Genomic DNA, 25,594 nt, shown 5'->3' with positions numbered 1-25,594 from the left:
TTCTGGAAATATGTGTCCTCAGGCCAGAATATACTTTGTAAATTCTCATGCTGCCAGATTATCTGGGTGTGGTGGCACTAGAATGGAGATACTTCATGGGAATAATACTCATTGTTCTTGACCCCACTGGGTCAGTGCTGACCCTACCACCACCCACTCTGCAGCAGCACCCAGATGCTAGCCTTGTACAGAAAGCCCCAGCATCTCTTTACAGTCAATGAGCTCTCTCTTTATTGAGGTATTTCAAATATACAAACACTTCAGAGCTTTTTAGATATGTGAAGGTCCAATTTAGTGAAGCGGATTAACAAAACATGATTCTAAAAGCCTGCCTCCTCTAGACCAAGGCCATGTAAAAGATTTATGTACCAATCAGCATCTTTTCCTTTTAATAATCTTCAGGATGTTGTGTTGGGTCCCCAGATTCCCATTTGATTTTCTTGCATCATTTTCTCAGACTGTTTGCTTCCTTGCTTCCTCCCCAGTGAGTGCCTTGGGCATTTTGTGTGTGCAGATAGAGAAGTACAGAGTTACTGCAGGAGCCCTCAGGAGTGAGACAACAGGAAATGACAAAGTAATACAGAGCTGCAGTAGCTGGGATGGGTGAGGACCCCACTTGGGATGCCCCATGGTAGAGTACTGGTGCCTTGGGAGGGTAGAACTGCTCAGGTCTAGCACGCCTCACTGAAGATTGGATTCACCTGCTGGGTGACTCGGATGAAGGTAGTTCTCCTGCTCAACTCTTTGAGCTTAGCTGCTCCCACATAGGTACACGTAGAGCGGATCCCTCCTAGGATGTCTCGGATGGTATGTTCCACATCTCCTTTAAAAGGAACTTCCACTGTCTTTCCCTCTGAGGCTCTTAAAGTAGGAAAAACTTTATTATCTTCTCCTTCTGGATTCCTTAAGCCCAGGGACTTTTCCACAGACCCTAGCATTGAGCCCCGGTTCACCATGCTTCTCTGAGAACTGTACCATCCCCCTCTCAGCAGCCATGAGTTCTGCCTCCATACTATTACTAAGCTCCTGGGCCTCCACACATACCTGTACTCAGCCACGCCCCCAGCATACTTCTTCATGGCCATTTCAGAACTCATTCCATAGAAGAGCTTGTACTTCTTGCCATCCCTCTCGATGAGCTCACCACCTGACTCACTGTGCCCAGCCAGCATGCCACCCAGCATCACGAAGTCAGCTCCTGCCCCTGCCACCATCATGGAGGGGGGAAAGAGATTAATCTGGCCAAGGTGCTCACATGGCCACCCTCAAAAGCAACTCACACCATATTCTCAGTCCTGACAATGATTCCAGCGTCTTCCTCCTTCTGCTTCCCTAGCTGACCCACAATCCACGCAGGCCTGATCTGCCCTGGCCTCTATTCCTCAGTGGGTATGATTTCCCCAAGATTTAAAAAAGAGCCTCTGGAGAGTCCCTGCCTGGCTTTTGCTTTCTCCTTTTGCTGTTTTTACCATCATCGTCTGGTCATTTGATTTTACTGTGCCCAGCTAAATAAGACTCATTTCATGTGTCCCAAGAGCAAAGATCCCCAACTTTAATGGGAGTAATGATCTCCTGGGAAGCTGTGCAAAATGAAAAATGCAGATGTGCTGTCCCATTCCTCAGAGCCTATTTTTAGGTATGGCTGGGGCTCAGGAGTCTGCACTGTGCAGCAATCTAGGAGATGGTCAGATGGCCCTGGCCCACACTTGGAGTCTCAGATGTCCCCTGCTGGCTGCCCCAGATGATACCATAGACTTCGGAGTCACTAATTCATATTATGAAAGAATCTGAATGACTTCCTGAGCCTCTCTTAGCCTGACCCTAGACCCTCAGAGGTGATTCATCCTCTTGTATAGAATCATCCTTCTGTGCCCTCAAGCTCCTTACCAAAAGCCTTGGCCACATCCCCAGGACAGCTGCAACCTCCATCCTGCAAAGTAAGGAGCACTATGAATACAACATGGATTTCCCAAGCCCTCAGCGATGTCCCAACAGCCCAACTCAAAGCCAACAAGAACCCAGGAATTCTAATCCATCTCTGCCACCTCCATACCCTGCAGAAACCCCGCTCATACCCTACCCTGCCCTTGAGCCTTACTGAAATGATGTGGCCTTTGAGGCCATGAGCAGCATCTGCACACTCCATCACTGCGCTGAGCTGTGGATACCCCACTCCAGTTTTCTTCCGAGTAGTACACACAGAGCCTAGGAAGAACATGATAAGGGTAAGAATGACGTGCTCCACAGGTGTTTGCCACTGAAGGGGGGTAGCCAGTGGCCCCAATGAACCAGCTTACCTGGCCCAATTCCCACTTTGATGATGTCAGCCCCAGAAAGGATGAGCTCTTCTACCATCTCTCCTGTTACCACATTCCCTGCCTGAGACAGAGCAATTGAAATACAGCATCCTTAGGGCCAGAAACAGGAGGTCATGTATTGTTACGGTATGCATGGACCATGACTTTCCAACATTATTACAAAGAAAGGATAACTAGGTCCCCTCTACTGGGCCCTCTGAGGGCTTTTACACTAGCCACTTTAGAGAACCCTGCTCCCTACCCATCCACCCAACACCAAGCCAAGGTAGGAGTGAGTGGCCAATGTCACCACTGAACCTAGGGTAAAGCCGAGGTCCATGATGCACTTTTCTAAGGCAACAAGGTGCTATGATCAACAGGGACACATGAAGTGGCATGGAGGAGCATTCAGTGAGGCAAAGGGAACTACTGGACCAGGCTCACATCTGATTTACAGTAGATTTAGCTCCCCTTCCTCAAGAGACCCAAACATATTCTGTCCTTAAGCCATTCTGTCATAGAACCTGTCTGGCTTCAGGGAAAGGGAGAAGGCATGGTAGTATAGGCTAAAGACCCATTTGACCAGTTGATTGGCTTTTGATGATCAGTAGACACACCCCTCAATGCTGCGAAGAAAATGAAGGCCACTCTTCTAAGGTTGTAAAAAGATAAATCATTATTCATGTGACCCCTTTTTATGTGACTAGTATGTGTCCATTTCAGTGGGCAGATGTCTATGTACCACAGGTATGTACAGTGCACAGATGTTCCATCATGGTTTGGTGAGTGACATCAGGGACATCAGATTTACAAAGACTATGAACCAAGGGTCAGAGATACTACACTGACCAAATAGACATTTTCAGCTTAGAACTATGGATAATCATCCAGTATCATGATTAAATGAACTAGGAATATCATAATGCAGCAGAGGAGAAATGGACTGATGTAGCAAAACGGAGTGGCAGGAAAGTGGAAAGATAAAAAGGTACCGACTGTAATAGAAACATACCATGATGGTGTGCTGGGGGAAGCGCTTCCGTACATCTTTTACAAATTCAACAAAGTGTTCAGAGTAGCCATTTGCCACATCCAGGCATATATACTTCACCTGGGGAATAGCTTCCAGGATCTGTTCCAGCTGCTCAAAGTCAGAAGAGCCTGTGCCTGAGCTGGCAGCCAGATGCTGTGGGAGAAACAGAGTCATTGGCATATCAGAGATGATCTGGTGGGCAGCCAGTGGGTCATTGGTGAGTGCTGGTCCCCAGAAAGCCAAAATATAATTGCTGGAAAACTGGGATAAGGAAGGGAGCAGGGTATGCCCAGTGTTACCTCAAGACAGTCAGGATTCTGGCCAGCAAACTCTTGCCACTGAACGAGGCTATAGTGCTTATGGACAGCAGTGAAGAGAGAGAACTGGGGAGAAGACAAAGAAGCATCAAAAGGGAGAAAACTTTATTAAGGTCTCTTTTCTAGAAACAGACCTATTCTATCTGAGGGAGGACATGATTGAAGTTGGGGAGGAAACAAGTCAAAGAACTCAGGTTGAGCTGGGATTTGAGTTCAACCTTTCTTCTCTCTACAAATACTAGTAGGGCTTTTTACCATAAGCTAGTACTTGTCAGATTTCCCACCAAAGTACTGAGTGATCTGGGTTGGATTTCATCTGCCAGCACATTCACTGCTTCTGACTTAAAAGGTGACAAGCTGCTGGTGCAGTGGGACAGGCAGCAGACATGAAAGAACCATGAAGAAGCTGGATGGAGCCTGTGTTTCTCTGCACTGACTCAGCCCCTCCTCCTAAGGTAACCTAGTACTAAACTATTTTTGGTTATGTTCTCGTTCATTTACCAGCAGTAATTCAGTAGATCTGGATGCTCACCAAAGGTAATGCCTTAAGGTTGATAAGAGCTGATAAGGGGCTACCCTACCCTGTCTCCATCTCTAGTGGAAAAAAGGACAAATTTCCTAGTTGGGGACATGGATCAAGCTAAAAAATCTGTTTCATTCAGTCCATTTTAATAAAGTTCAAGGACATAATGACTCATCAAACTCATATTCTCTAGCTCAACAGATTGCAAACAATATCCCAATACTTTGAGGAAGGCATTCAAAGGCCATTGTGTATGCTGGTGTTTGTGCCTTACATGTCTACATGCAAACAGACAAGAGACAGCAGTTGGCTGAAACAGCACAAATCTTGCAACTAACAAGAAACCCAAGGAAGTCATGTATTAGCTAGCAACAAGTGCTCTACATACGTACTCAGAGATCAACAATATCTAGCTAAAGCTGGTATTGAATTCTGCTTTCTCAACAACTCTATCATCAACATACTGATAAGCAAAGAAAAGTCACCATAGGATAGGAAGTCAGCAGATGTTGGAGATATACTGGCAGAGTGTGGCATGATGAGCACATCAGATTACATACCAAACTTAGAAAAAGATGTTTGCTTGCATCCAACCTTTTTATTACAGTAAGACTTGGCTCTTATCTCTAAAACCTGATTTCTTTACCTCTCGTCAGCAATACTGAAAGCCAGGCTCCACATAAAGCATCAAGACAGTCCCCAAAAAGGTTCATGTATTACAGCACGCCTGTTAACTCTGCAGTCAGAGTCACCAATTCTGAACTCTACTGGTCAGGGCAGATGGACAGTGGGCAACAGAAAGATTCCTAAGCAGTTACTGAATGGCAATAAAAATAAAGTAAAAATAAAACTGCATAACTATCAACCTTAAAGAAATGACAAGACATTCCACAAAGACACAGCAATCAAAAATAGAAAAAGGATATGAAGTCCTTAAGACTAATGGAGCCACAAACAATAGCAGAATTCATCAACCAGGGCTACATGGATCAACCAGCAGAGTGCATATGTTCTCAAAGTGCCCAGATAACTCTCTACCTTCTCAGCAACAAGTATAGAGGCAGGTAATAGTACTGACAGGAGCAGCATCTTCCATTTCAAAGTGAACAACTTGTATATAAGAAAAACACATCCCATTTGGGGCACATCCCAGAAACTCCCAGGAACCTAGGACTTAAAGAAGAGGAAGATTAAAAAAAGAATGGCAGAAGTATTCTTTTATTAATGAATTGTTCTTATTAAAGAAAATTAATAAGCTGCTTCTCCTAGGATCTTCTAGTTAGGATTTTTGAATGCTTAAACTGTAGTTTCTGGACTAAAACAGTGAATGCTTAATGTGGACAATCGCATAACTGAAGGGATGCATGTGACTGTGAGGGGGTGACCTGGGTGGTGGGAAAAGTTGGCAAGGTGTACAAACTGCTAAACAGGACAAAAGGGAAAATTCTGTTCATATATCAGAAATATCGGAGCAGAACTTAGCTTTGAATCTCACTAATTCAGATGGCCTTTTGAACTTATCAGATAAAGGGCTTCAGTAGTGGAAAAAACCGTAAATCAGAGCATCCTGACTGCTAACTGCCAGAGAACTGACTGGGCATGGGGGTGGGGATGCAAACACCTCTGCAGTCAGCTGGGCTAACTGGACACCAATAGGGATGGGGCATGAGGAAAGCCCTACCTTACAGAGAACCTTGGCCATCTCAAAGGTGCCCACAGTATCCATATTGGCAGCAATGATGGGAACCCCAGAGTATGTCTGCTTTGAGTTCCGAAATGAAAAGGATCTTGTGAGATCCACCTGCAGATATGAACAGGAAATTGACCATTTCATTAATCCAAAAAACGTACCATATTAGGACAAGGACAGGCATCTTTCTTGGTTGTGGCCCACCGGGAGCGTGGGGTCAAGAAACAGCAAGTAGAGAAGCTTGCTCACCTCACTTCGAGACTTAAGGGTACTGCGTTTGGGCCTCAAAAGGACATCCTTGAAGTCCAGTTTCACATCGTTGTCAATATGAGGCATGGCGCTTAGCCTCGGGGTAGCGATGAATCTGAGGGCTGGAAGGCAGGAAGTCATAAGGACCAATCTTCCCCTGGGCTTTAACGCCCTGTTACGGCTGGTGGCCTCTCTTCGCTTAAGTTGTGGAAGGTCGGGCAAAGGCCGAAGTGTGGTCCCTGAAGCCTGTCACCTCGACCCATCCCGTGGCTGCGATTACCCTAGGGCTCCATCCCAGGTACTGTTTGTTGGGGAGGAGAGCTGGGAAAGGGTTGTGAGAGACCCTGACGGTGCATTCCTTACCCCGCTACACTTCCTTCTTCTACCCCTGCAAAGAGCAATGGGGCAAGAGGCTGATTTAGGGGAACGAAGGAATGTTGGCGACGGGGGGCGGGGAGGGTTCATAACTAGTTTCCGGAATAGAGGTACTCACTTCCTGTTGCCTTGGTCCAGGCGGCAGTTGACCAAAGACCACCTTGCTTAGCAACTAACCTCGTGCAATCCCGCTAAGCCTTCTGGGCCACGCCAACAGGTTCCTCTAGTTGCCGGCGAGAACTACTAGCCGACGAATTCCAGCTTCGGCGGCGGCAGGGCGAGGCCTTCTGGATAACAGAGTTCACGCACTGAGGTTGCTGTTGGATCCGAGGGGGTTAGACTACAACTCCCAGGGGGAAACGGGCGGGACCGCCTCCTGGCACGATGGGAGATGTAGTTCGTTCTGCCCCCACTTTTCGCTAGCCCGGGCTCGCCAGGGACTCTCAGAATCGCAGAGTCGTCATCTCTGCTGTTGCTAAACTGGATGCCTCATTCCAATTTACGACGTCACTGAACCGAAACGCGGGAGCAACCCTGAGCCTTTCCGGAACCCAGTGGGGGGGGGGGGGGGGGTGGAGCCAGACAGTGACCCGGAAGTAGAAGTGGCCCTTGCAGGCAAGAGTGCTGGAGGGCGGCAGCGGCGACCGGAGCGGTAGGAGCAGCAATTTATCCGTGTGCAGCCCCAAACTGGAAAGAAGATGCTAATTAAAGTGAAGGTGGGAGCACCTCCAGCCTTGCCAAGACGCAGTAGTACTGGGCTGGCAGCAGTGCCTTACGGGAGACGTGGGGAAGGAAAACCACGCCTTTCCCTAGCCTGGAGGACGCTGACTGCCTCAGGGCTCCGCGCGAGGGGTGGTGGGAAATAGGGGGACCCAGAAGGGCTTTGAGAGCGGGGCCCAGGTCCCACCTGACGACCCTGGGGTATTTTGCCATGCCTGCTTTTTTGCCAGGACTGTGCTATCACCCAGAATGGGGTCGCTTTTGTCGGGTCTCACTGTATTCGAACCCCCGCAGTCATAGAGAAGGCCTAGCAGCGGCTTGACTCCCCCGTCTCTCAGATTCTTGGAGTAAGCGCTGCTCTCCATTCTTCATTCCCAGGGTACCTGCTTCTCCCAGTCCCTAACGTAGGTCGCCTCCGAGCACAGCCCTAAAATCGGGGCCTCCCAAGGGCTAGACTATGAGCCTTTACTGGTGGTTGCCAAGGTGTGGTATCTCACCCGTCCTACAGGAACCAAAGCGGGGAGTGTGTTCAGTCAGTACCTGCCTTTCTGAGCCTGGCATCCTGGACCAGCCTCACTTCCTTGGCTGAGGCAGGTTAGTTACCGCTGCCCTAGTTCTTGCTACTAGCCATGGTTTCCTTCATCTGCATCTCTCAACTCCCGTGGTGGTTCTTCACCAATTTCCAGCCCTCGTTAGTCCTATCTGCTGTTTCCTCTTTTGTGCCTTCAGACAGACAGAGACCCCCCCCCCCACGCCCCCCTCAAAAAAACAAAACTGCTGACAAGTGAAGTCTAATGCTAGTTTGGCCTTTTTGTAGCTAAGTAAATCTATCGTTATTTCATCAGCTTCTTAGCATATTTACCGTACATAATAGTCATTCTTAACCTTCTCTTCCCCAGTCCTTCCAAACTACTTCTTAGCTAAGATTTGAGGTCTAGTATTAAAATAGTATGTTAAAGATGATTTTTTTTAACGTTGAGTAGCGGCCTATATAAGAGTCGTAACATCAATTTAATAGGTGAATGGGTCACTGGCGCCATTAAAAAGAGAAAATAGGCTGGGCGCGGTGGCTCACGCCTGTAATCCCAGCACTTTGGAAGGCCGAGGCAGGCCGATCGCTTGAGCCCAGGAGTTGGAGACCATCCTGGGCAACATGGCGAAACCCTGCCTGTACAATAAATTCAAAAAATTAGCCAAGGGTCTGGGCGCATGCCTGTAGGCCCAGCTATTCGGGAGGCCGAGATGGGAGGATTGATTGATCCTGGGATGTCGAAGCCGCGGTGAGCAGTGATGGCACCACTGCACTCCAGACCCTGCCTGAAAAAAAAGGCCGGGCCCAGTGGCTCACGCCTGTAATCCCAGCACTTTGGGAGGCCGAGGTGGGTGGATCACCTAAGGTGAGGAGTTCAAGACCAGCCTGGCCAACATGGTGAAACCCCGCCTCTACTAACAATACAAAAACTAGCCGGGCGTGGTGGTGGGCGCCTATAATCCCAGCTACTCGGAGGCTAAGGCAGGAGAATCCCTTGAACCTGGGAGGCGGAGATTGCAGTGAGCTGAGATGGCGCCATTGCACTCCAGCCTGGGCGACAAGAGTGAAACTCCATCTCCCCCTGCAAAAAAAAAAAAGAAAGAGAGAGGGGGAGAAAATAGGAAATAATATAGTGCTAGGTAAGGATATTGTTTTATGATTTTTTTTTTTTTTTTTTTTGAGACAGAGTCTCGCTCTGTCGCCCAGGCTGGAGTGCAGTGGCGCCATCTCGGCTCACTGCAAGCTTCGCCTCCCGGGTTCATGCCATTCTCCTGCCTCAGCCTCCCGAGTAGCTGGGACTACAGGCGCCTGCCACCACGCCCAGCTAATTTTTTTGTATTTTTAGTAGAGACAGGGTTTCACCATGTTAGCCAGGATGGTCTCGATCTCCTGACCTCGTGATCCGCCCGCCTCTGCCTCCCAAAGTGCTGGGATTACAGGTGTGAGCCACCCTCCCCCGTGCCTGGCCTTTTTTTTTTTTTTTTTTTTTTTTTTTGAGACAGAGTCTCACTCTGTTGCCAGGCCTGAAATTTTTTATTTTATTTTATATGTATATTACACAGGGGGTGTTACTAGTTCATACTAATTTTTAGAATGGATCACTGTCAAAATCTTGAGAAACACTAACTGTTGAATATTTTTATTTGAGACGGAGTCTCCCTCTGTCACCAGGCTGGAGTGCAGTGGCGCAATGTCGGCTCACTGCAACCTCCGCCTCCCGGGTTCAAGCGATTCTCCTGCCTCAGCTTCCTGACTAGCTGGGACTACAGGGTGTGCCACCACGCCCAGCTAATTTTTGTATTTTTAGTAGAAACGGGGTTTCACCAGGTTGGCCAGGATGGTATCGATCTCTTGACCTAGTGATCCGCTCACCTCCGCCTAAAGTGTTGAGATTACAGTCATGAGCCACCGCGCCCGGCCTGTTGAATACTTCTGTTGGCTTTTCAATGCATATGGGTTCTCATGTCCACTAGGTCCAAAGAAGTTAAGTTACTAATGCTAAGTGTTTTGTACACTTTTTGAAAATTTCACTCCACATTAAGAAATTTTATGTCACAACCCATAAGGCACAAAAACTTTGCTATTTGTGATATGCTCTCAGACTTTCAATTCTAAGTTGATTTCATAACCCACTGATGGGTTGAGACCTGCCCACTGATGGGTTGAGACCTGCAGTTTAAAAAGTACTGTTTGAAAGGCCAGGCGTGGTGGCTCACGCCTGTAATCCCAGCACTTTGGGAGGCCAAGGCGGGCGGATCACGAGGTCAGGAGTTCAAGACCAGCCTGGCCAACATGGTGAAACCCCGTCTCTACTAAAAATACAAAAATTAGCCGAGTGTGGTGGCACACACCTGTAGTCCCAGCCACTTGACAGGGTGAGGCAGGAGAATTGCTTGAACCTGGGAGGCAGAGGTTGCAGTGAGCCAAGATCGTGCCATTGCACTCCAGCCTGGGCAACAGAGTGAGACTGTCTCAAAAAATAAATAAATAAAATAACTGTTTGAACAAAAAAATCAATGCTGTGTGTGGAAACTTGAAAATACAGTGTCCTATCACCTGTGGTCTTGCTAAAATGCTGATTATGATTCTGTGGGTCTAAGGTGGGGCACAGGTTTCTGCATTTCTCACAAACTCCCAGGTGATATTGAATGTCTGAGAGCTACACTTTGAATAGCAAGATTCTAGATTTTTTCTGTTTCTTTGAATCCATATTTATGTGGTACTTCTCTAAAATTGCCAGTCTTCTTTCCTGCAACACCCTTCTGCCTTCAAACAGGCCTCTGTGCCCCATCTCTCTCTATCTCCCCCTCTCGCCCCATCCCCTCTTGTTTGTTGCATTTCTTAATTAAATACATAGGAAAGTAGTTACACATGAGATAGCTGTTAATCTGATCTGAAGAAAATATTAATTTAAAAAAGAAAAAAAAGAGCTGTTAATTACCATATAAGTGACATTTTTTATTACAGTTCCTTTTTTTTTTTTTTTTTTTTTTTGAGACAGGTTCTCACTCTGTCGCCCAGGCTTAGGGTGCAGTGGTGCCATCACAGCTTACTGCAGCCTCGACCTCTCAGGCCCAAGCAATTCTCCCATCTGAGCCTCCTGAGTAGCTGGGACTACAGGCGTGTGCTACCACCATACCCAGCCAATTGTTTTATTTTTTTGTAGAGATGCGGTCTCATCGTGTTGCCCACGCTAGTCTAAAACTTCTGGGGTCAAGTGATCTTCCCACCTCATCTTCCTAAAGTGCTGGGATTACAGCCGTGAGCTACCATATCTGACCCCTTTTTGAATTATTATTATTTTTGTTTTGTTTTGCTTTTGAGATGGAGTCTCACTCTGTCGCCCAGGCTGGAGTACAGTGGCACGATCTTGGCTCATTGCAACCTCCGCCTCTTGGGTTCAAGCGATGCTCCTGCCTCAGCCTCCCAAGTAGCTGGGACTACAAGTGCCCACCACCATACCCGGCTAACTTTTGTATTTTAGTAGAGACGGGGTTTCGCCATGTTTGCCAGGCTGGTCTTGAACGCCTGACCTGAGGTGATCCACCCACCTCAGCCTCCCAAAGTGCTGGGATTACAGGCATGAGCCACCGCGCCTGGCCTCATTTTGTTTTTGTTTTGAGACATTCTTACTCTGTCACCCAGGCTGGAGTGCAGTGGTATGATCTCGGCTCACTGCAACCTCCACCTCCCAGGCTCAAGGGATCCTCCCAACTCAGCCTCCCAAGTAGCTGGGACTACAGGTACATGCCACCACACCTGGCTGATTTTCTGTATTTTTAGTAGAGGTGGGGTTTCACCATGTTGCCCAGGCTGGTCTTGAACTCCTGAGCTCAAGTGATCCACCTGCCTTGGCCTCCCGAAGTGCTGGGATTACAGGCGTGAGCCACCATGCCCAGCCGAATGATTCATTTTCAACTGCTGTCTCTGTGTAGCTGACTTCTTCCATATTTTTCTATAAGATTTTACAATTAAATTCTTCCTGATTTAAATCTTGTTACCTTGTCTCTATGGTTCTAAAATTAAATGCATCATCTTCTGTCATAAGCCATATCCCAATACCCATCTCGTGTATTAATCCCATCAATCATTCAGGTGTCTGGAATACAATTCTTTAGAGTCATTTAAAATTACGTGGTCCTTTTATAAGATCTAATTTTTCACTTAAAAGCTCTTTCTGTTTGATTTTTGTTTCCATCTCCATTACCCTCATTCTGGTCTCGGGTCTTACTCATTTATATGTTTATGTCTCTGTAATACATCCAACCAGGTTTTCCTACCGTCATATCCCCTCTAAAGTGTAGTCTAAACCAAGACATGACGTACAAAACCATAATGTGCAGGTCTTCCTTTAGCTTCTTTTTCATTATATTACTCCCTAACCCCAGATCCTTCATTGATTTCCTCATTGCAGATTACTTTGGCAACTGTCTTTACTGTGTGAATCAGTTTTCTCATTCATGTTTTTTAACATACAGTAAAATGCACAGTTCTTAAGGGTTTAGTTCAGTGAGTTTTTGACAATAGCATACGTTCATGTAATTACAAAATCTAAACATTTGTATTCCTACCCCCTCAAGAGTTTCATAGGTTAGTTTTGCTTGTTTTAGAACTTTATATAAATGGAATTATTGAATGTACAATTTTTGTATCTGGCTTCTTTCATTCTGCATAATGTCTACTGTAATCTGTGGTTTATTCCTTCTTATTACTGAATAGTATTCCATTGGATGAATTATATCATAATTTGTTTATCCATTCTCCTGTTGATGGGTGTTTGAGTTATCTCCAGTTTCTGGCTATTATGAAAAAGTCTTCTATGAACATTGTTATACGAGTGTTTTTGTAAACATATGTTTTTATTTCCTTTGGATAAATACCTAAGAATGAAATTACTAGGTCATGTGGTAGATATATGTAACTTTAAAAAGAAACTAAGGGTTTGTACCATTTTATATTCCCACCTGCAGTGTATGAGCATTCCAGTTGCTCTGTACCCTTACTAGACGGTACCCTTGTAGCACCATAAAAATGCTGATGTCAGTCATTTTTATTTTGGCTATTATAGTGTTATAATGTTATATAAATTAAAACACTATATCTAGTGTTATATAATGTTATCTCATTCAAGGCTTAAATTGATTAACATTGATTTTCATTCACCATAGCACTTAGTCATTGCCCCTTGTGTTTGGACAATATAGTACTTCCTTTTGTTTTGTTTTGTTTTGATTTGTTTTTAATTTTTAATTTTTTTTTTTTTTTTTTGAGATGGAGTCTCCCTCTGTCACCCAGGCTGGAGTGCGGTGGCACGATCTCGGCTCACTGCAACCTCCACCTTCGTTCAAGCGTCCACCATGCCTAGCTAATTTTTTTGTATTTTTGGTAGAGACAGGGTTTTGCCATGTTGGCCATGCTGGTCTCGAACTCCTGACCTCAAGTGATCCACCTGCCTCAGCCTCCCAAACTGCTGGGATTACAAGCGTGAGCCACTGTGCCCAGCCAGAACTTCCTTGTATACAGCCTTATTCTATTAATTTTATGTCTAATTGTTTCTTGGTTGTACATCTTCGCTTGATAAAGATTGTTGGCAGGGCTGGATCACATTTCTTTTGTATTTCCTCCAGTGCCTAGGGCAGTATGTTAGGTTTAGGTTCATCTTTTTTTTTTTTTTGGAGATGGAGTCTCACTCTGTCACCCAGGCTGGAGTGCAGTGGCGTGATCCCTGCTCACTGCAACCTCCACCTCCTGGGTTCAAGCATTTCTCCTCCTCAGCCTCCTGCATAGCTGGGATACAGGTGCGTGCCACCACACCCAGCTAATTTTTTTGTATTTTTAGTAGAGACAAGTTTTCATCATGTTATCCAGGCTGGCCTCGAACTCCTGACCTCAGGTGATCCGCCTGCCTTGGCCTCCCGAAGTGCTGGGATTACAGGCGTGAGCCACCGCGCCCTGTCTAGGTTCATCTTATACTTGTTTAAATAGCATTGAATGTATTGTCAGGTTACAGTGTGATATATCAAGAATATCTTCTAAAATTGTTCAACTGCTTTAAAACAACTTCATGGACAATTTCAAAGACATACATCAGGAAAGAGAAGGGTGTATGCACCCTTCATCCAGCTTCAAAAATTATCATCTCATAGCCAATCTTATTTAATTTAAACTCACCAACTCCTTTTACCTGATTTTTTTAAAGCAAATTCCAGCTAGCATAGCATATGTTATTCCTACATATTTCAGTGTTTTTCTGTGAAAGATAACCTTTTTTCTAACATAACCGTAATTTTTACATCCAAAAATTTAACTGATTGCTTACTATCATCAAATTACCCTATTGTCTCTCTCTCTTTTTTTATTAACAGTTTGAATCTGGATCCAATTAAGATCCATACATTGCCATTGGTTTATGTGTTTTCAATTTCTTTAAATCCGTAGATTCTCCTTTTTCCCATTTTTTTCTTGTTGAATAGAGTTTCCTGCAGTTTGAATTTTGCTGATTACATTCCCATGTTTTTCTTTTTTTCTTTTTTTTTTTTTTTGAGACAGAGTCTTGCTCTGTCACCCAGGCTGGAGTGCAGCAGTGTAATCTTGGCTCACTACTGCAACTTCTCTGCTTCCAGGGTTCAAGTGATTCTTGTATTCTCGTGCCTCAGCCTCTTGAGTAGCTGGGACTACAGGCATGCGCCACCATGCCTGACTAATTTTTGTATTTTTCATAGAGATGACATTTTGCCATGTTGGCCAGGCTGGTCTCAAATTCCTGGCCTCAAGCGACCCGCCCACCTCGGCCTCCCAAATTGCTGGGATTACAGGCATGAGACACCACAACGGGCTCCCATGTTGTCTTTTGACGTATTCCTCTTTTCCTCTGTATTTCCTGTCAGCTGGTAATTAGATCTAGAGGCTTGATTAATCTTTGTATGTTCATATGTGAGAAGAATTCATAGGTGGTGATGTGGTATGTACTTCCATCAGATTGTTTTGCTTTCTGTGATGTTAGTCATTTCCTAGATACATTGTTTCATTGGGGGTTACAAGCTGGAGGTACTCTAATATTCTTGTTGCTTCATATATTAGCTGGAATATTTGAACAGTGTCCAAAATGGTAGCCATTAGCCACATTTGGCTATTGAGCACTTGAAATGTAACTAGAGAGACTGAAGATTTGAAATTTTGATTGTACTTGATTTTAATTAAATTTAAAAACTGAAACTTAGCCGGGTACAGTGGCTCACACCTGTAATCCCAGTGAGTTAGGAGGCTGAGGTGGGAAGATCACTTGAGGCCAGAAGTTTGAGACCAGCCTGGACAACATTTCGAGACCCCATCTCTACAAAACAATTTTCAGGCCGGGCATGGTGGCTCATGCCTGTAATCCCAACACTTTGGGAGGCCGAGGCGGGTGGATCATTTGAGGTCAGGAGTTCGAGACCAGCATGGCCAACATGGTGAAACCCCATCTCTACTAAAAATACAAAAATTGGCTGGGCGCGGTGGCTCACGCCTGTAATCCCAGCACTCTGGGAGGCCGAGGCGGGCGGATCACAAGGTCAGGAGATCGAGACCATCCTGGCTAACACAGTGAAAACCCGTCTCTACTAAAAAATACAAAAAATTAGCCTGGGCGTAGTGGCGGGCGCCTGTAGTCCCAGCTACTCTGGAGGCTGAGGCAGGAGAATGGCGTGAACCCGGGAGGTGGAGCTTGCAGTGAGCCGAGATCGTGCTACTGCACTCCAGCCTGGGCGACAGAGCGAGACTCTGTCTCAAAAAAATAAAAATAAAAATAATAAAAAATACAAAATACAAAAATTAGCCAGGCGTAGTGACACGCGGCTGTAACCCCAGCTACTTGGGAGGCTGAGGCAGGAGAATTGCTTGAGCCTGGGAGGCGGAGGTTGTGGTGAGCCAGATGATGCCACAGCACTCCAGTCTGGGTGACAGACTGAGACCTTGCCTCAAAAAAAAAAAAAATTTTTTTTTTTTTCCAAAAAAGAATTAGCCAGGCATGGTGGTGTGTGCTTGTAGTCCCAGCTATTCAGAATGCTGAGGTGGGATGATACTTTCAGCCCAGGAGTTGGAGGCTGCAGTGAGCCATGATTACTCCACTGTGTTCCAGGCTGGGACACAGAGCAAGACTCCATCTCAAATAAATAAATAAATAAATAAATATAAAAAACTTTTAAGTATGTTTAGAACAAGTTGGGTGTATAAATCTACTTTTTCTATTGTAAATTATGAAACTTAAATATATGTCAAGTATTTCAGATGAAAATTTACCATTTGAATTTTTTTGTTTTTCTGGGTTTTTTTTGGAGATAGGGTCTCCCTCTGTCACCCAAGCTGGAGTGCAGTGGCACAATCAGCCCACTACGGCATTGAACTCCTGGGCTTGGGCAGTCTTGCCTCAGCCTTCTGAGTACCCAGTTGCTGGGACTACAGGCCTGTGCCACTATGCCTGGCTAATTTTATTGTAGAGATGGGGATCTCACTATGTTGCCCAGGCTGGTCTCAAAACTCCAAGCCTCAAGCAGTACTCCCACATCCCCTTCCCAAAGTGTTGAGATTACAGGCATATGCTACCATGCCCAGCCTACCATCTCTATTTTTTTTTTTTTTTTTTTTTTTGAAATGCAGTCTTGCTCTGTTGCCCAGGCTGGAGTGCAGTGGCATGATCTCAGCTCACCGTAACCTCCGCCTCCTGGGTTCAGGCGATTCTCCTGCCTCAGCCTCCCCAGTAGCTGGGACTACAGGCGCCCACCACCATGCCCAACTAATCTTTGTATTTTTAGTAGAGATGGGGTTTCACTGTGTTGGCCAGGCTGGTCTCAAACTCCTGACCTCGTGATCCGCCCCCTCGGCCTCCTAAAGTGCTAGGATTACAGGTGTGAGCCACCGCACCCAGCCCCATCTCTACATGTGATGTAAATATGAAATACAGGATTTTTAGGATTTGGTTAGAAAAAACATAAAATATATTAATTTTTATATTGATTACATGTGAATAATATTTTGGCTATGTTGGGTTTAAAAATATTAAAATTTTACCTCTTAAAGAACTTTTACAATATGGCTACTAGTAAATTTAAAAATTGCATGTATGGCTTGTATTATATTTCTACAAGGCAGTGCTGCTTTACAAAATCTTACCCTTATCAAGGACATTGTTTTTTAAATAATTTGTTCTCATTACAGCATATTCACATTTGTGGTATAAAAAATGGAAAATACAGAAAAGCATAATAATGTAATTAAAATCACCCATAATTCCACTGCTCAAGTTAAAGCATTAATATACTGTATATACCCTTCCAAGCTTTTTGGAGAGCATATAGATGCATGTGTTGTTTTTACAAAATTTTAATTATACTCTATATACTATAACTTTTTTGTTAAATTATCAGCATATTGTTAATATATTACAAATAGTTATCCTAAACATTGTTTGAGGGATTTGTAATTTTTTTTCTATGATTGTACCATAATTTATTTAACCCTCAACTGTTTGATATTTAGATTGTGTTTCTAATTTTACAGTATCAAAAGGTTGCAATAACCATTGTTGTAGGTATACTTTTGGACATAGTCATGAGTATTTTCCTGGAAGTATTGTTGCTGGGACACCATATTGCCAAATTGCTCTCTAGATATATTTATGGGCCTCTACAGTCGATTTCAGAAACAAAGGGCCAGCTCTAGACTTTTAGAATTTACAAACCAATAATCCTTTTTAAAAATATAAGGTCCAAGCATTTTGCTCTTGGGAGAGCAGCTCTAGGTCTTCTCTGAGAGTCTTTTTTCACTCTTTAAAAATTTGTGGTCGGGTGCGGTGGCCCACATCTATAATCCCAGCACTTTGGGAGGCCGAGGCAGGCAGATCACCTGAGGTCGGGAGTTCAAGACCAGCCTGACCAATATGGAGAAACCCTTCTCTACTAAAAATACAAAATTAGCCAGGTGTGGTGGTGCATGCCTGTAGTCCCAGCTACTTGGGAGGCTGAGATAGGAGAATTGCTTGAACCTGGGAGGCAGAGGTTGCAGGGTGAGCTGAGATTGTGCCGTTGCACTCCAGCCTGGGCAGCAAGAGTAAAACTCCATCTCAAAATAAATAAATAAATAAAAATTTGTATTATCGGCCAGGCACGGTGGCTCATGCCTATAATCCCAGCACTATGGGAGGCTGAGGCAGGTGGATCACTTGAGGTCAGGAGTTCGAGACCAGCCTGGGCAACATGGCAAAACCCCATCTCTACTAAAAATACAAAATGTAGTCAGGCGTGGTGGTGCCCGCCTGTGATGCCAGCTACTCAAGAGGCTGAGGTGGGGATCACCTGAGCCCAGTATGTCGAGGCTGCGGTGAGCCATGATTGCACCATTGCACTCCATCCGGGTGAGACTGAGACCCCGTCTCAAAAAAAAAAAAAAAGAAAGTGAAATAATTTGTGGACAACACAGAATTACAAACTTTTTATTTTGTCTTTTTAAAGTTACCACAAATTGTCACCACCATTCTCTGAAAGGACATTAACACCTGAATATATTTAGTTTCATGAAAATTTCACTTTTAACACTGCTTTTCTCATTTTACCATAGGCTGCTGAAAATTTTCACACAGACCAGCATAGGTTAGGGTAGAAGCTTGAGAATCACTGCTGTAATTTATTCTTTCATATCCAAACAGGTTAATCCAAAGGAATTGTTCTTGTATTTTTGGAAACATACTAGTACTAAATCATTCTCCTTGTTGGGAAATTTTCTGAGTTCTTGTTTCGTGCTGTTCTATGTGAATACCATAAGGAGAAACCATATGTTATTTTGTGAGCTACTATAGGAGTGTACATTGGGTCCCAATACTAGACCAGCCAGACTCAGGTAGGACGGAGTACAGAAATAAAAGCACAGGCTCTGGGACCAGGGAATCTGGATCCAATCTCTACTTTTGATTGCGTAGATGTGTTTTTAACCTAAGGCTTATTTTTCTCATCTATAAAATGGAAATAGTAATAGTCCATATCTCATAAATACTGGGAGGATTAAATGTGATGCATGTAAGATGCTGATCATAGTTACTGACCCTTAGAAAGTGTTCAATGGCTGGGCAAGGTGGCTCATGCCTGTAATCCCAGCTCTTTGGGAGGCCGAGGCAGGAGGATCACTTGAGCCCATGAGTTTGAAACCAGCCTGAGCAACACAGAACTCGTCTCTACAAAAAAATCTTAAAAATAGCTGAGTGTGGTGGTGCACACACCCTGTAGTCCTTGCTACTTAGGAGGCTGAGGTGGGAGGGTTGTTTGAACCCAGGAGGTCAAGGCTGCAGTGAGCCAGGATCACACCACTGAACTCCAGCCTGCTTGATACAGTGAGACCCTGTCTCTTAAAAAAATAAAAGGAAAAAAATAGTTTTCAGTAAATGTTAGCTGTGATTATAATATGATCATCAGTATATTTAGCCCTTCAAAAATATTCATTGACTGCTTGTGTGTCAAACACTAGGAAAGTTTAACACTTAAACAACTAGCTGTAATTGGTATATTAATATTGGAAGTATTAATAAAGTACACTGGGAACAGGTCTACACATCATACAGGAGGTTTTATACATTGCTGGAGTGCAATGGCACAATCTCAGCTCACCGCAACTTCTGCCTCCTGGGTTCAAGAGATTCTCCTGCCTCAGCCTCCTGAGTAGTTGGGATTACAGGCATGCGCCACCACGCCTGGCTAATTTTGTATTTTTTAATAGAGAAGGCTTTCTCCATGTTGGCCAGGCTGGTCTTGAACTCCCAACCTCAGGTAATCCACCCACCTCAGCTTCCCAAAGTGCTGGGATTACAGGCATGAGCCACTGTGCCCGGCCAGGAGGAGATCTTACATTTAAGGGGTCTTGAAGTTTGGAGAAGAAGGGGAGGATATTGCAACAAGGAAAATAACGGAAGCAAAGAAATGCCCATAAATTAGAATGAGCATGGTGTGTTTGTGGCCTGGATCACTGTAGACTAATACAGATAGAGCTATTAAGAGCAAGGACAGATGGGAGAAGACACAACATTTATGACTGCATAATCAGTATAATTATTGTATTTGGATATCACCAGCCCTTAACTTACGGAAGAAGACAAGAGCTGCAATTTAGGATTTAGGTAGAAGTCTGGAAAGATATGGGAGATGTAATGTTGACTTCTTGTCTTCTTTTCTCTTTTTTCTTTTACTTTCTTTTTTTTTTTTTTTTTTTTTTTTTTGCGAGGGTGTTGCCCAGGCTGGAGTACAGTGGCACAATCGTGGCTTACTGCTGCTGCCTCTAATTTCTGGACTCAAGTGATCCTCCCACCTCAGCCTCCCAAATAGCTGGTACTACAGGCATGCACCACTGTACTCAGCTAATTTTTGTTGTTGTTGTTGTTGTTGTTGTTGTTTTGGTTGAGACAGGGTTTCGCTGTGTTGTCCAGGCTGGTCTGGAACTCCTAGGCTCAAGTGATCCTCCCGCCTCAGTCTCCCAAGGTGTTGGGATTGCAGGTGTGAGCCACCATGCCCAGCCAATTCTAGCATTTTTTAAAAAACTGCTGAGATGATTTCTGGTGTCCTTGAGAATTCTTCAAATTATCTGAATATTAATTTCTAGCATTGATATTTAGAACAAGGTCCTTCTGACTTTTTTTAAGATATCTTTCAGGCTGGGTGCAGTGGCTTACCCCTGTAATCCCAGCACTTTGGGAGGCTGAGGCGGGTGGATCACCTGAGGTTGGGAGTTTGAGACCAGCCTGATCAACATGGAGAAATCCTGTCTCTACTAAAAATACAAAATTAGCCAGGCCTGGTAGCGCATGCCTGTAATCCCAGCTACGTGGGAGGCTGAGGCAGGAGAATTGGTTGAACCTGGGAGGCAGAAGTTGCAGTGAGCCGAGATTGTGCCATTGCACTCCAGCCTGGTCAACAAGAGCGAAACTCCATCTCAAAAATAAATAAATAAATCCTTTCATTGCCGTATCATCTAAAATAATGCCAATATTCTCACTGATTTTGGGGGACTGATGTTGGAAGATGACTCATGGAATTAAGAGGATCAGATGGTTCAAAGAATCTTGCCCTATCAAAGTTGTTTACAGCCTAAAAATATTTGATAAATGAAGGTATGTTCAAAGCCTTCTCATTCTCCAAAGCAGTGCTGCTGAGAATATGCATCTTTTAGAAGGCAGTAGATCCCAAAGACCAACATAGGATGTTTTACCTAGAAGACAAATTGTACATTGGGCTTTAAGGACTCATGAAACCATTGCCTGTTTCAGACGCTGACCGGAAAGGAGATTGAGATTGACATTGAACCTACAGACAAGGTGATGCATGCCCAACTCCTCTTCATGTACTTCTTGCCATGTGTATTTGTTTGCATATGCTTATGAACTTGGTCCTTTTGCTCTCATGCTGTCTGCATAGCCCTTGTTCTTTCCGTTTCCATGGTCCTACCCCTAAGCAGCAGCCCCTGACTACTTGTCTCTCTAAAGGTGGAGCGAATCAAGGAGCGTGTGGAGGAGAAAGAGGGAATCCCCCCACAACAGCAGAGGCTCATCTACAGTGGCAAGCAGATGTGAGTTTGGAGTGAGAATGACAGCATGGCGATCTTATGTGAAGATGAGAAGAGGAGAGGGGGCACGTACTGAGGTGGATCAGGGGTGCCTCTTGTTTTTGGTGCCTAAGACTCTTTGGCAATCTGGTGAAGCCTCTAAGCCCCTTCTCAGAATAAGATTTTTTCAGGCATAAAACAAAATATATAGAATTAAAGGAAAACTAATTATATTGAAATAGTTATTAAAATACTAAAACAAATTTGTGATATAGTAATATATGTACTTTTTTATTAATGCATAAGATCTAATGGTAGGTCTAATATGACCATAATTTTGAAATATTTTCAAGATACCTATAAATGATCATGATAGAAAATAGTTAATTGCTATTGTTAACAAGTTACCTATATTGCTAATACTACTGTGGTTTTTGGGCTATGTTTAAAGTTAGAAGAAATGTTAAATTTCAGTTGGGGGTTAGTAAAAATAAAGATGGGATTTTTTTTCTCATTCAAGTTCACAGACCCCCAAAGAGATCCAGGAAACTCAAGAACTCCTGTTCTGGCCGGGCGCAGTGGCTCACGCCTGTAATCCCAGCACTTTGGGAGGCTGAAGGGGGTGGATCACCTGAGGTCAGGAGTTCGAGACCAGCCTGGCCAACATGGTGAAACCCCATCTTTACTAAAAATACAAAAATTAGCTGGGCGTGGTGGTGGGCGCTTGTAATCCCAGCTACTCAGGAGGCTGAAGCAGGAGAATTGCTTGAACCCAGGAGGTGGAAGTTGCAGTGAGCTGAGATCGTGCCACTGTACTCCAGCCTAGATGACAGAGCGAGACTCTGTCAAAAACAACAACAACAACAACAACAACAACAACAAAAAACTCCTAAGTCTTCTTTTTCTTTTTTTTCTGGCTTCCTTTTCCTGCAGGAATGATGAGAAGACAGCAGCTGATTACAAGATTTTAGGTGGTTCAGTCCTTCACCTGGTGTTGGCTCTGAGAGGAGGAGGTGGTCTTAGGCAGTGATGGACCCTCCATTTTACCTCTTTACCCTGTCGCTCATAATGAGGCATCATATATCCTCTCACTCTCTGGGACACCATAGCCACTGCCCCCTCCCCTGGATGCCCAGTAATGTATGTCTACTGGTGGGAGACTGTGAGGATCCCAGGATTCAGTATTCCTGGCCCAGAGGGCCCTTGCTGGCTACTGGGTGTTAGTTTGCAGTCCTGTGTGCTTCCCTCTCTTATGACTGTGTCCCTGGTTGTCAATAAAATATTTCCTGGCCTCCTGGAATCTTTCTTCTGTTGCACAAGTTGACTGAAATAAAAATGGACCTAATGCTCACTCAGTTATAGCAGGCTGAAGGAATCGGACAGTGGAAGGAATGGTGCTCTTACGGGGATTATCAGACTCTAGGAAAACCTACTTAGTGGTGTGTTGGAACCAGTTCCTAGTGGCTAATGAGAGCCAATTATTGGCACCTTTTTCCAACTCTATTAAGTGACTTCATGTTGGTAGCTTGAAATTGGCCATGGTAGGATTATTTACAGAAACTAGCAAACACTACAGATCAGTTCCTCCCCACAAACTGGTTGTTATACATCTACCAGTGTAGTGCTGACATGGATGGTGAAACCTTCGGAGAGTGAATTCTCTCTTGACTGTGGCTGTACTGGACATTTAGGCCTGGTTGGAGAACGCCTTCAAGGGTTTGGCTGACACTGTACTCTATGGCTGGAATATTACTGAGGACTTTGGGTTCTACACTGTCAGGAGGTTGATAATGCAGAAAGATTGAGTGACAAGCTGTGATGTATCACTTGGGTCTCAAGAAGAGGCAGGTGCTAGAAGAAAAGGCTTTCCTTCTTCCCTGGCTTCTTAGTATAATAGAATCGGGCAAGGCTGGGTGGAGTGGAGAAGTAGGGAGGATGCCCGTGGCCAATGCCTTAGAAAGACTTGACTGCTGTGGTTGCATGTGTGGTCGTGTTGGTACCTCGCTGCAATCCTCTTCCCCGCCCAGCATCAGATGGCACTCTTGCGCCATCTCCAGGCTGATGACGCCCCGAGTGGCGACGCTCTAGTCGCCATTTGTCTATGGCAGGCAGGGTGGCTGCCTTAGCTGCCGGAGGTTCCGCACTCTCTAAGGCCCCGGGTGAAGCCCCACCTCTGCTGCGCGCAGCCTGCGGTGCGGGTCATGGCGCGGCTACCGAAGCTGGCAGTCTTTGATTTGGGTGAGGGACGGGAAGGGGAGAATTTCGTAAGGTGCTCTCCTTTTCCACATCCCTAACAGCAGCTCCCGAATCCCTGCATCTCCCGCCCCAGGCTGAACCTTCCCTCTCCTTCCTCTCGCAGATTACACTCTCTGGCCTTTCTGGGTCGACACGCACGTAGACCCTCCGTTCCATAAGAGCAGGTGAGGTAGGGACAGGGAAGACTGGGGGCGAGATAGGACCCAGCCAGGGCTGAGCGCACTCTTGCCCTCTCCAGTGATGGAACTGTACGAGATAGGCGGGGCCAAGACGTCCGACTGTACCCAGAGGTGCCTGAGGTCCTAAAACGATTGCAGAGCCTTGGGGTGCCCGGTGCGGCTGCTTCAAGGTAAGAAGAGCGACTGACAACTGACAGTGTAATGCTGAAGGGTGCATGCAAGAGACAGTGAAACCCCTGGTCTACAAAAATAGGGGCGGTGCAAGTTTCCAAGTATTTACATATTTTTTCCCTTGAACGCTCTCCTGTGCCTTTTAACTATTAAAAAGTGGGGCCAGCAGGCGGGCGCGGTGGCTCACGTCTGTAATCCCAGCACTTTGGGAGGCCGAGGCGGGTGGATCACGAGATCGGGAGTTCAAGACCAGCCTGATCAACATGGTGAAACCCCGTCTCTACTAAAAATACAAAAATTAGCAGGGCGTGGTGGCACGCACCTGTAATCCTAGCTACTCGGGAGGCTGAGGCAGGAGAATCGCTTGAACCCGGGAGGCGGAGGTTGCAGTGAGCTGAGATGGAGCCACTGCACTTCAGCCTGGGTGACAGAGTGAGACAATGTCTCAAAAAAAAAAAAAAAAAAAAAAGTGGGGCCAGACACAGTGACTCACACCTGTAATCTTAGCATTTTGGGAGGCCTAGGTGGGAGGATCACTTGAGCCCAGGAATTTGAGACCAGCCTAGGCAATAGAGGGAGACCCTATCTCTACCAAAAAAAAAAAAAAAATTGTAGTGGCGTGCACCTGTAGTCCCAGCTACTTGGGAGGCTGAGGTGGGAGGATCACTTGAGCCCAGGAGGTCGTGACCACAGTGAGCCGTGATTGGGTCGCTGCACTCCAGTCTGGGCAACAGAGCTAGACCCTGTCTCAAAACAAAAGCTAAAACATTGGCCCAGCACCAATTGTGTCAAATAGGAAGGCAATGGAGTTAAACAGAGGCTGAGGATGCCTGTCCATCCCGGAAAAACAGCAAGTTGATTTCCCTGGTTATACTTACTAACTTTGCTTAATAAGTTAACGTAGCCCTGGCCCTTCACTTTGCTAATCCCATCTTTTACACCGTTTTGCAGGACAAGTGAGATAGAAGGGGCCAACCAGCTACTGGAGCTCTTTGACCTCTTCAGGTACTTTGTTCATCGGGAAATCTATCCAGGCAGCAAGATCACACACTTTGAGAGGTATGCGGAGATAAGGGAGGAGCAGGGTGAGAAAGTATCAGAGAGGCCTGGGAAACCAAGATACTAGCTTGGTTACTCCTGCCCTGTCTTGAATAGGTTGCAGCAGAAGACTGGAATTCCTTTCTCCCAGATGATCTTCTTTGATGATGAGAGGCGGAATATTGTAGACGTCAGCAAACTGGGTACTGAGTGATGAGGAACAGCCATTTGGGGTCCCTAGGAGGGATTAGGTAGATACATACAGGTTGGATAGTTTGCCCTATAGGTGGCACTCACAAAGGTCAGAGTAATAATGGAGAACCCTGAAAGCTTAATGAAATGTGACTTCTTATCTTTCTAGGTGTTACCTGCATTCACATCCAGAATGGAATGAATCTTCAAACTCTAAGTCAAGGGTTAGAGACATTTGCGAAGGCCCAAACTGGGCCTTTGAGGTCCAGCCTTGAGGAGAGCCCATTTGAGGCCTAAACTGAAAGGAAATCAAGAAGGCATTTTCAGGTGCATTTGTAATTTATTAAAGTTCATCTGTGTGTGACAGAAGAGATTTTACCCACAGTGTGGGGAGTTTCTATTTTTCTAGCCTGTGAAATGGGGTTGGTTGTCCTGAGGTGCAGAGACCAGAATGTGAGACATTAG

The 25,594-nt window shown here is 45.2% G+C and overlaps 4 protein-coding genes across 21 annotated transcripts, besides 4 other annotated features; 3 read left to right on the top strand and 1 right to left on the bottom strand.

The window, feature by feature from the left end:
* Nucleotides 208-6,828, bottom strand: GMPR2 (guanosine monophosphate reductase 2). Of its 13 annotated transcripts, none has more exons than NM_001351024.2 (11): nucleotides 6,603-6,828; nucleotides 6,110-6,231; nucleotides 5,852-5,971; nucleotides 5,209-5,343; nucleotides 3,630-3,713; nucleotides 3,310-3,483; nucleotides 2,298-2,379; nucleotides 2,099-2,205; nucleotides 1,888-1,930; nucleotides 1,045-1,204; nucleotides 208-861 (listed from the first exon to the last, which is right to left on the bottom strand). In NM_001351024.2, exons 4-11 carry the CDS (start codon nucleotides 5,305-5,307, stop codon nucleotides 672-674), a joined length of 939 nt encoding a protein of 312 aa, NP_001337953.1. In that variant the 5' UTR covers nucleotides 5,308-5,343; nucleotides 5,852-5,971; nucleotides 6,110-6,231; nucleotides 6,603-6,828; the 3' UTR covers nucleotides 208-671. The 13 variants fall into 13 exon arrangements, 12 of the variants coding, with proteins under 12 accessions (NP_001337953.1, NP_001337954.1, NP_001337955.1 ...); NM_001351025.2 differs by having other exon boundaries at nucleotides 6,662-6,828; NM_001351026.2 differs by lacking the exon at nucleotides 6,603-6,828 and adding an exon at nucleotides 6,473-6,521.
* Nucleotides 6,354-7,219: an enhancer, noted in NCBI's record as "H3K27ac-H3K4me1 hESC enhancer chr14:24701437-24702302 (GRCh37/hg19 assembly coordinates)". NCBI's record gives its function as "activates a minimal SCP1, AML or CMV promoter by ChIP-STARR-seq in naive H9 embryonic stem cells {active_cell/tissue: H9 hESC(naive)}" and the evidence as "EXISTENCE:reporter gene assay evidence [ECO:0000049][PMID:30033119]".
* Nucleotides 6,893-7,187: an enhancer, noted in NCBI's record as "tiled region #3923; HepG2 Activating DNase matched - State 25:Art, and K562 Activating non-DNase unmatched - State 1:Tss". NCBI's record gives its function as "activates a minimal TATA promoter and a strong SV40 promoter by Sharpr-MPRA in HepG2 and K562 cells {active_cell/tissue: HepG2 | K562}" and the evidence as "EXISTENCE:reporter gene assay evidence [ECO:0000049][PMID:27701403]".
* NEDD8 (NEDD8 ubiquitin like modifier) lies at nucleotides 7,083-22,593 on the top strand. Its single transcript, NM_006156.3, has 4 exons — nucleotides 7,083-7,200; nucleotides 21,019-21,066; nucleotides 21,235-21,317; nucleotides 22,227-22,593. Exons 1-4 carry the CDS (start codon nucleotides 7,183-7,185, stop codon nucleotides 22,321-22,323), a joined length of 246 nt encoding a protein of 81 aa, NP_006147.1. The 5' UTR covers nucleotides 7,083-7,182; the 3' UTR covers nucleotides 22,324-22,593.
* NEDD8-MDP1 (NEDD8-MDP1 readthrough) lies at nucleotides 7,083-25,507 on the top strand. 4 transcript variants are annotated; one of them, NR_137632.2, is made up of 8 exons: nucleotides 7,083-7,200; nucleotides 7,583-7,798; nucleotides 21,019-21,066; nucleotides 21,235-21,317; nucleotides 23,653-23,713; nucleotides 23,788-23,898; nucleotides 24,851-24,958; nucleotides 25,055-25,140. NR_137632.2 is itself a non-coding variant. In NM_001199823.3 (7 exons), exons 1-7 carry the CDS (start codon nucleotides 7,183-7,185, stop codon nucleotides 25,424-25,426), a joined length of 582 nt encoding a protein of 193 aa, NP_001186752.1. In that variant the 5' UTR covers nucleotides 7,083-7,182; the 3' UTR covers nucleotides 25,427-25,507. The 4 variants fall into 4 exon arrangements, 1 of the variants encoding a protein (NP_001186752.1); NR_137631.2 differs by lacking the exon at nucleotides 7,583-7,798; NR_137630.2 differs by lacking the exons at nucleotides 7,583-7,798; nucleotides 23,653-23,713 and adding an exon at nucleotides 22,227-22,264.
* Nucleotides 23,338-23,507: an enhancer, noted in NCBI's record as "active region_8198". NCBI's record gives its function as "activates an Ori minimal core promoter by ATAC-STARR-seq in GM12878 lymphoblastoid cells {active_cell/tissue: GM12878}" and the evidence as "EXISTENCE:reporter gene assay evidence [ECO:0000049][PMID:35858748]".
* MDP1 (magnesium dependent phosphatase 1) lies at nucleotides 23,384-25,507 on the top strand. Of its 3 annotated transcripts, none has more exons than NM_138476.4 (6): nucleotides 23,384-23,531; nucleotides 23,653-23,713; nucleotides 23,788-23,898; nucleotides 24,851-24,958; nucleotides 25,055-25,140; nucleotides 25,299-25,507. In NM_138476.4, exons 1-6 carry the CDS (start codon nucleotides 23,495-23,497, stop codon nucleotides 25,424-25,426), a joined length of 531 nt encoding a protein of 176 aa, NP_612485.2. In that variant the 5' UTR covers nucleotides 23,384-23,494; the 3' UTR covers nucleotides 25,427-25,507. The 3 variants fall into 3 exon arrangements, with proteins under 3 accessions (NP_612485.2, NP_001186751.1, NP_001186750.1); NM_001199822.2 differs by having other exon boundaries at nucleotides 25,055-25,188; NM_001199821.2 differs by lacking the exon at nucleotides 25,055-25,140 and having other exon boundaries at nucleotides 24,851-24,904.
* Nucleotides 23,920-24,658: an enhancer, noted in NCBI's record as "H3K27ac-H3K4me1 hESC enhancer chr14:24683998-24684736 (GRCh37/hg19 assembly coordinates)". NCBI's record gives its function as "activates a minimal SCP1, AML or CMV promoter by ChIP-STARR-seq in naive H9 embryonic stem cells {active_cell/tissue: H9 hESC(naive)}" and the evidence as "EXISTENCE:reporter gene assay evidence [ECO:0000049][PMID:30033119]".

This window comes from Homo sapiens, chromosome 14 (genome assembly GCF_000001405.40).
Source record: "Homo sapiens chromosome 14, GRCh38.p14 Primary Assembly".
In the NCBI taxonomy this organism is placed as follows: Eukaryota; Metazoa; Chordata; class Mammalia; order Primates; family Hominidae; genus Homo; species Homo sapiens.
This window is presented reverse-complemented; position numbering and strand designations above follow the sequence as displayed.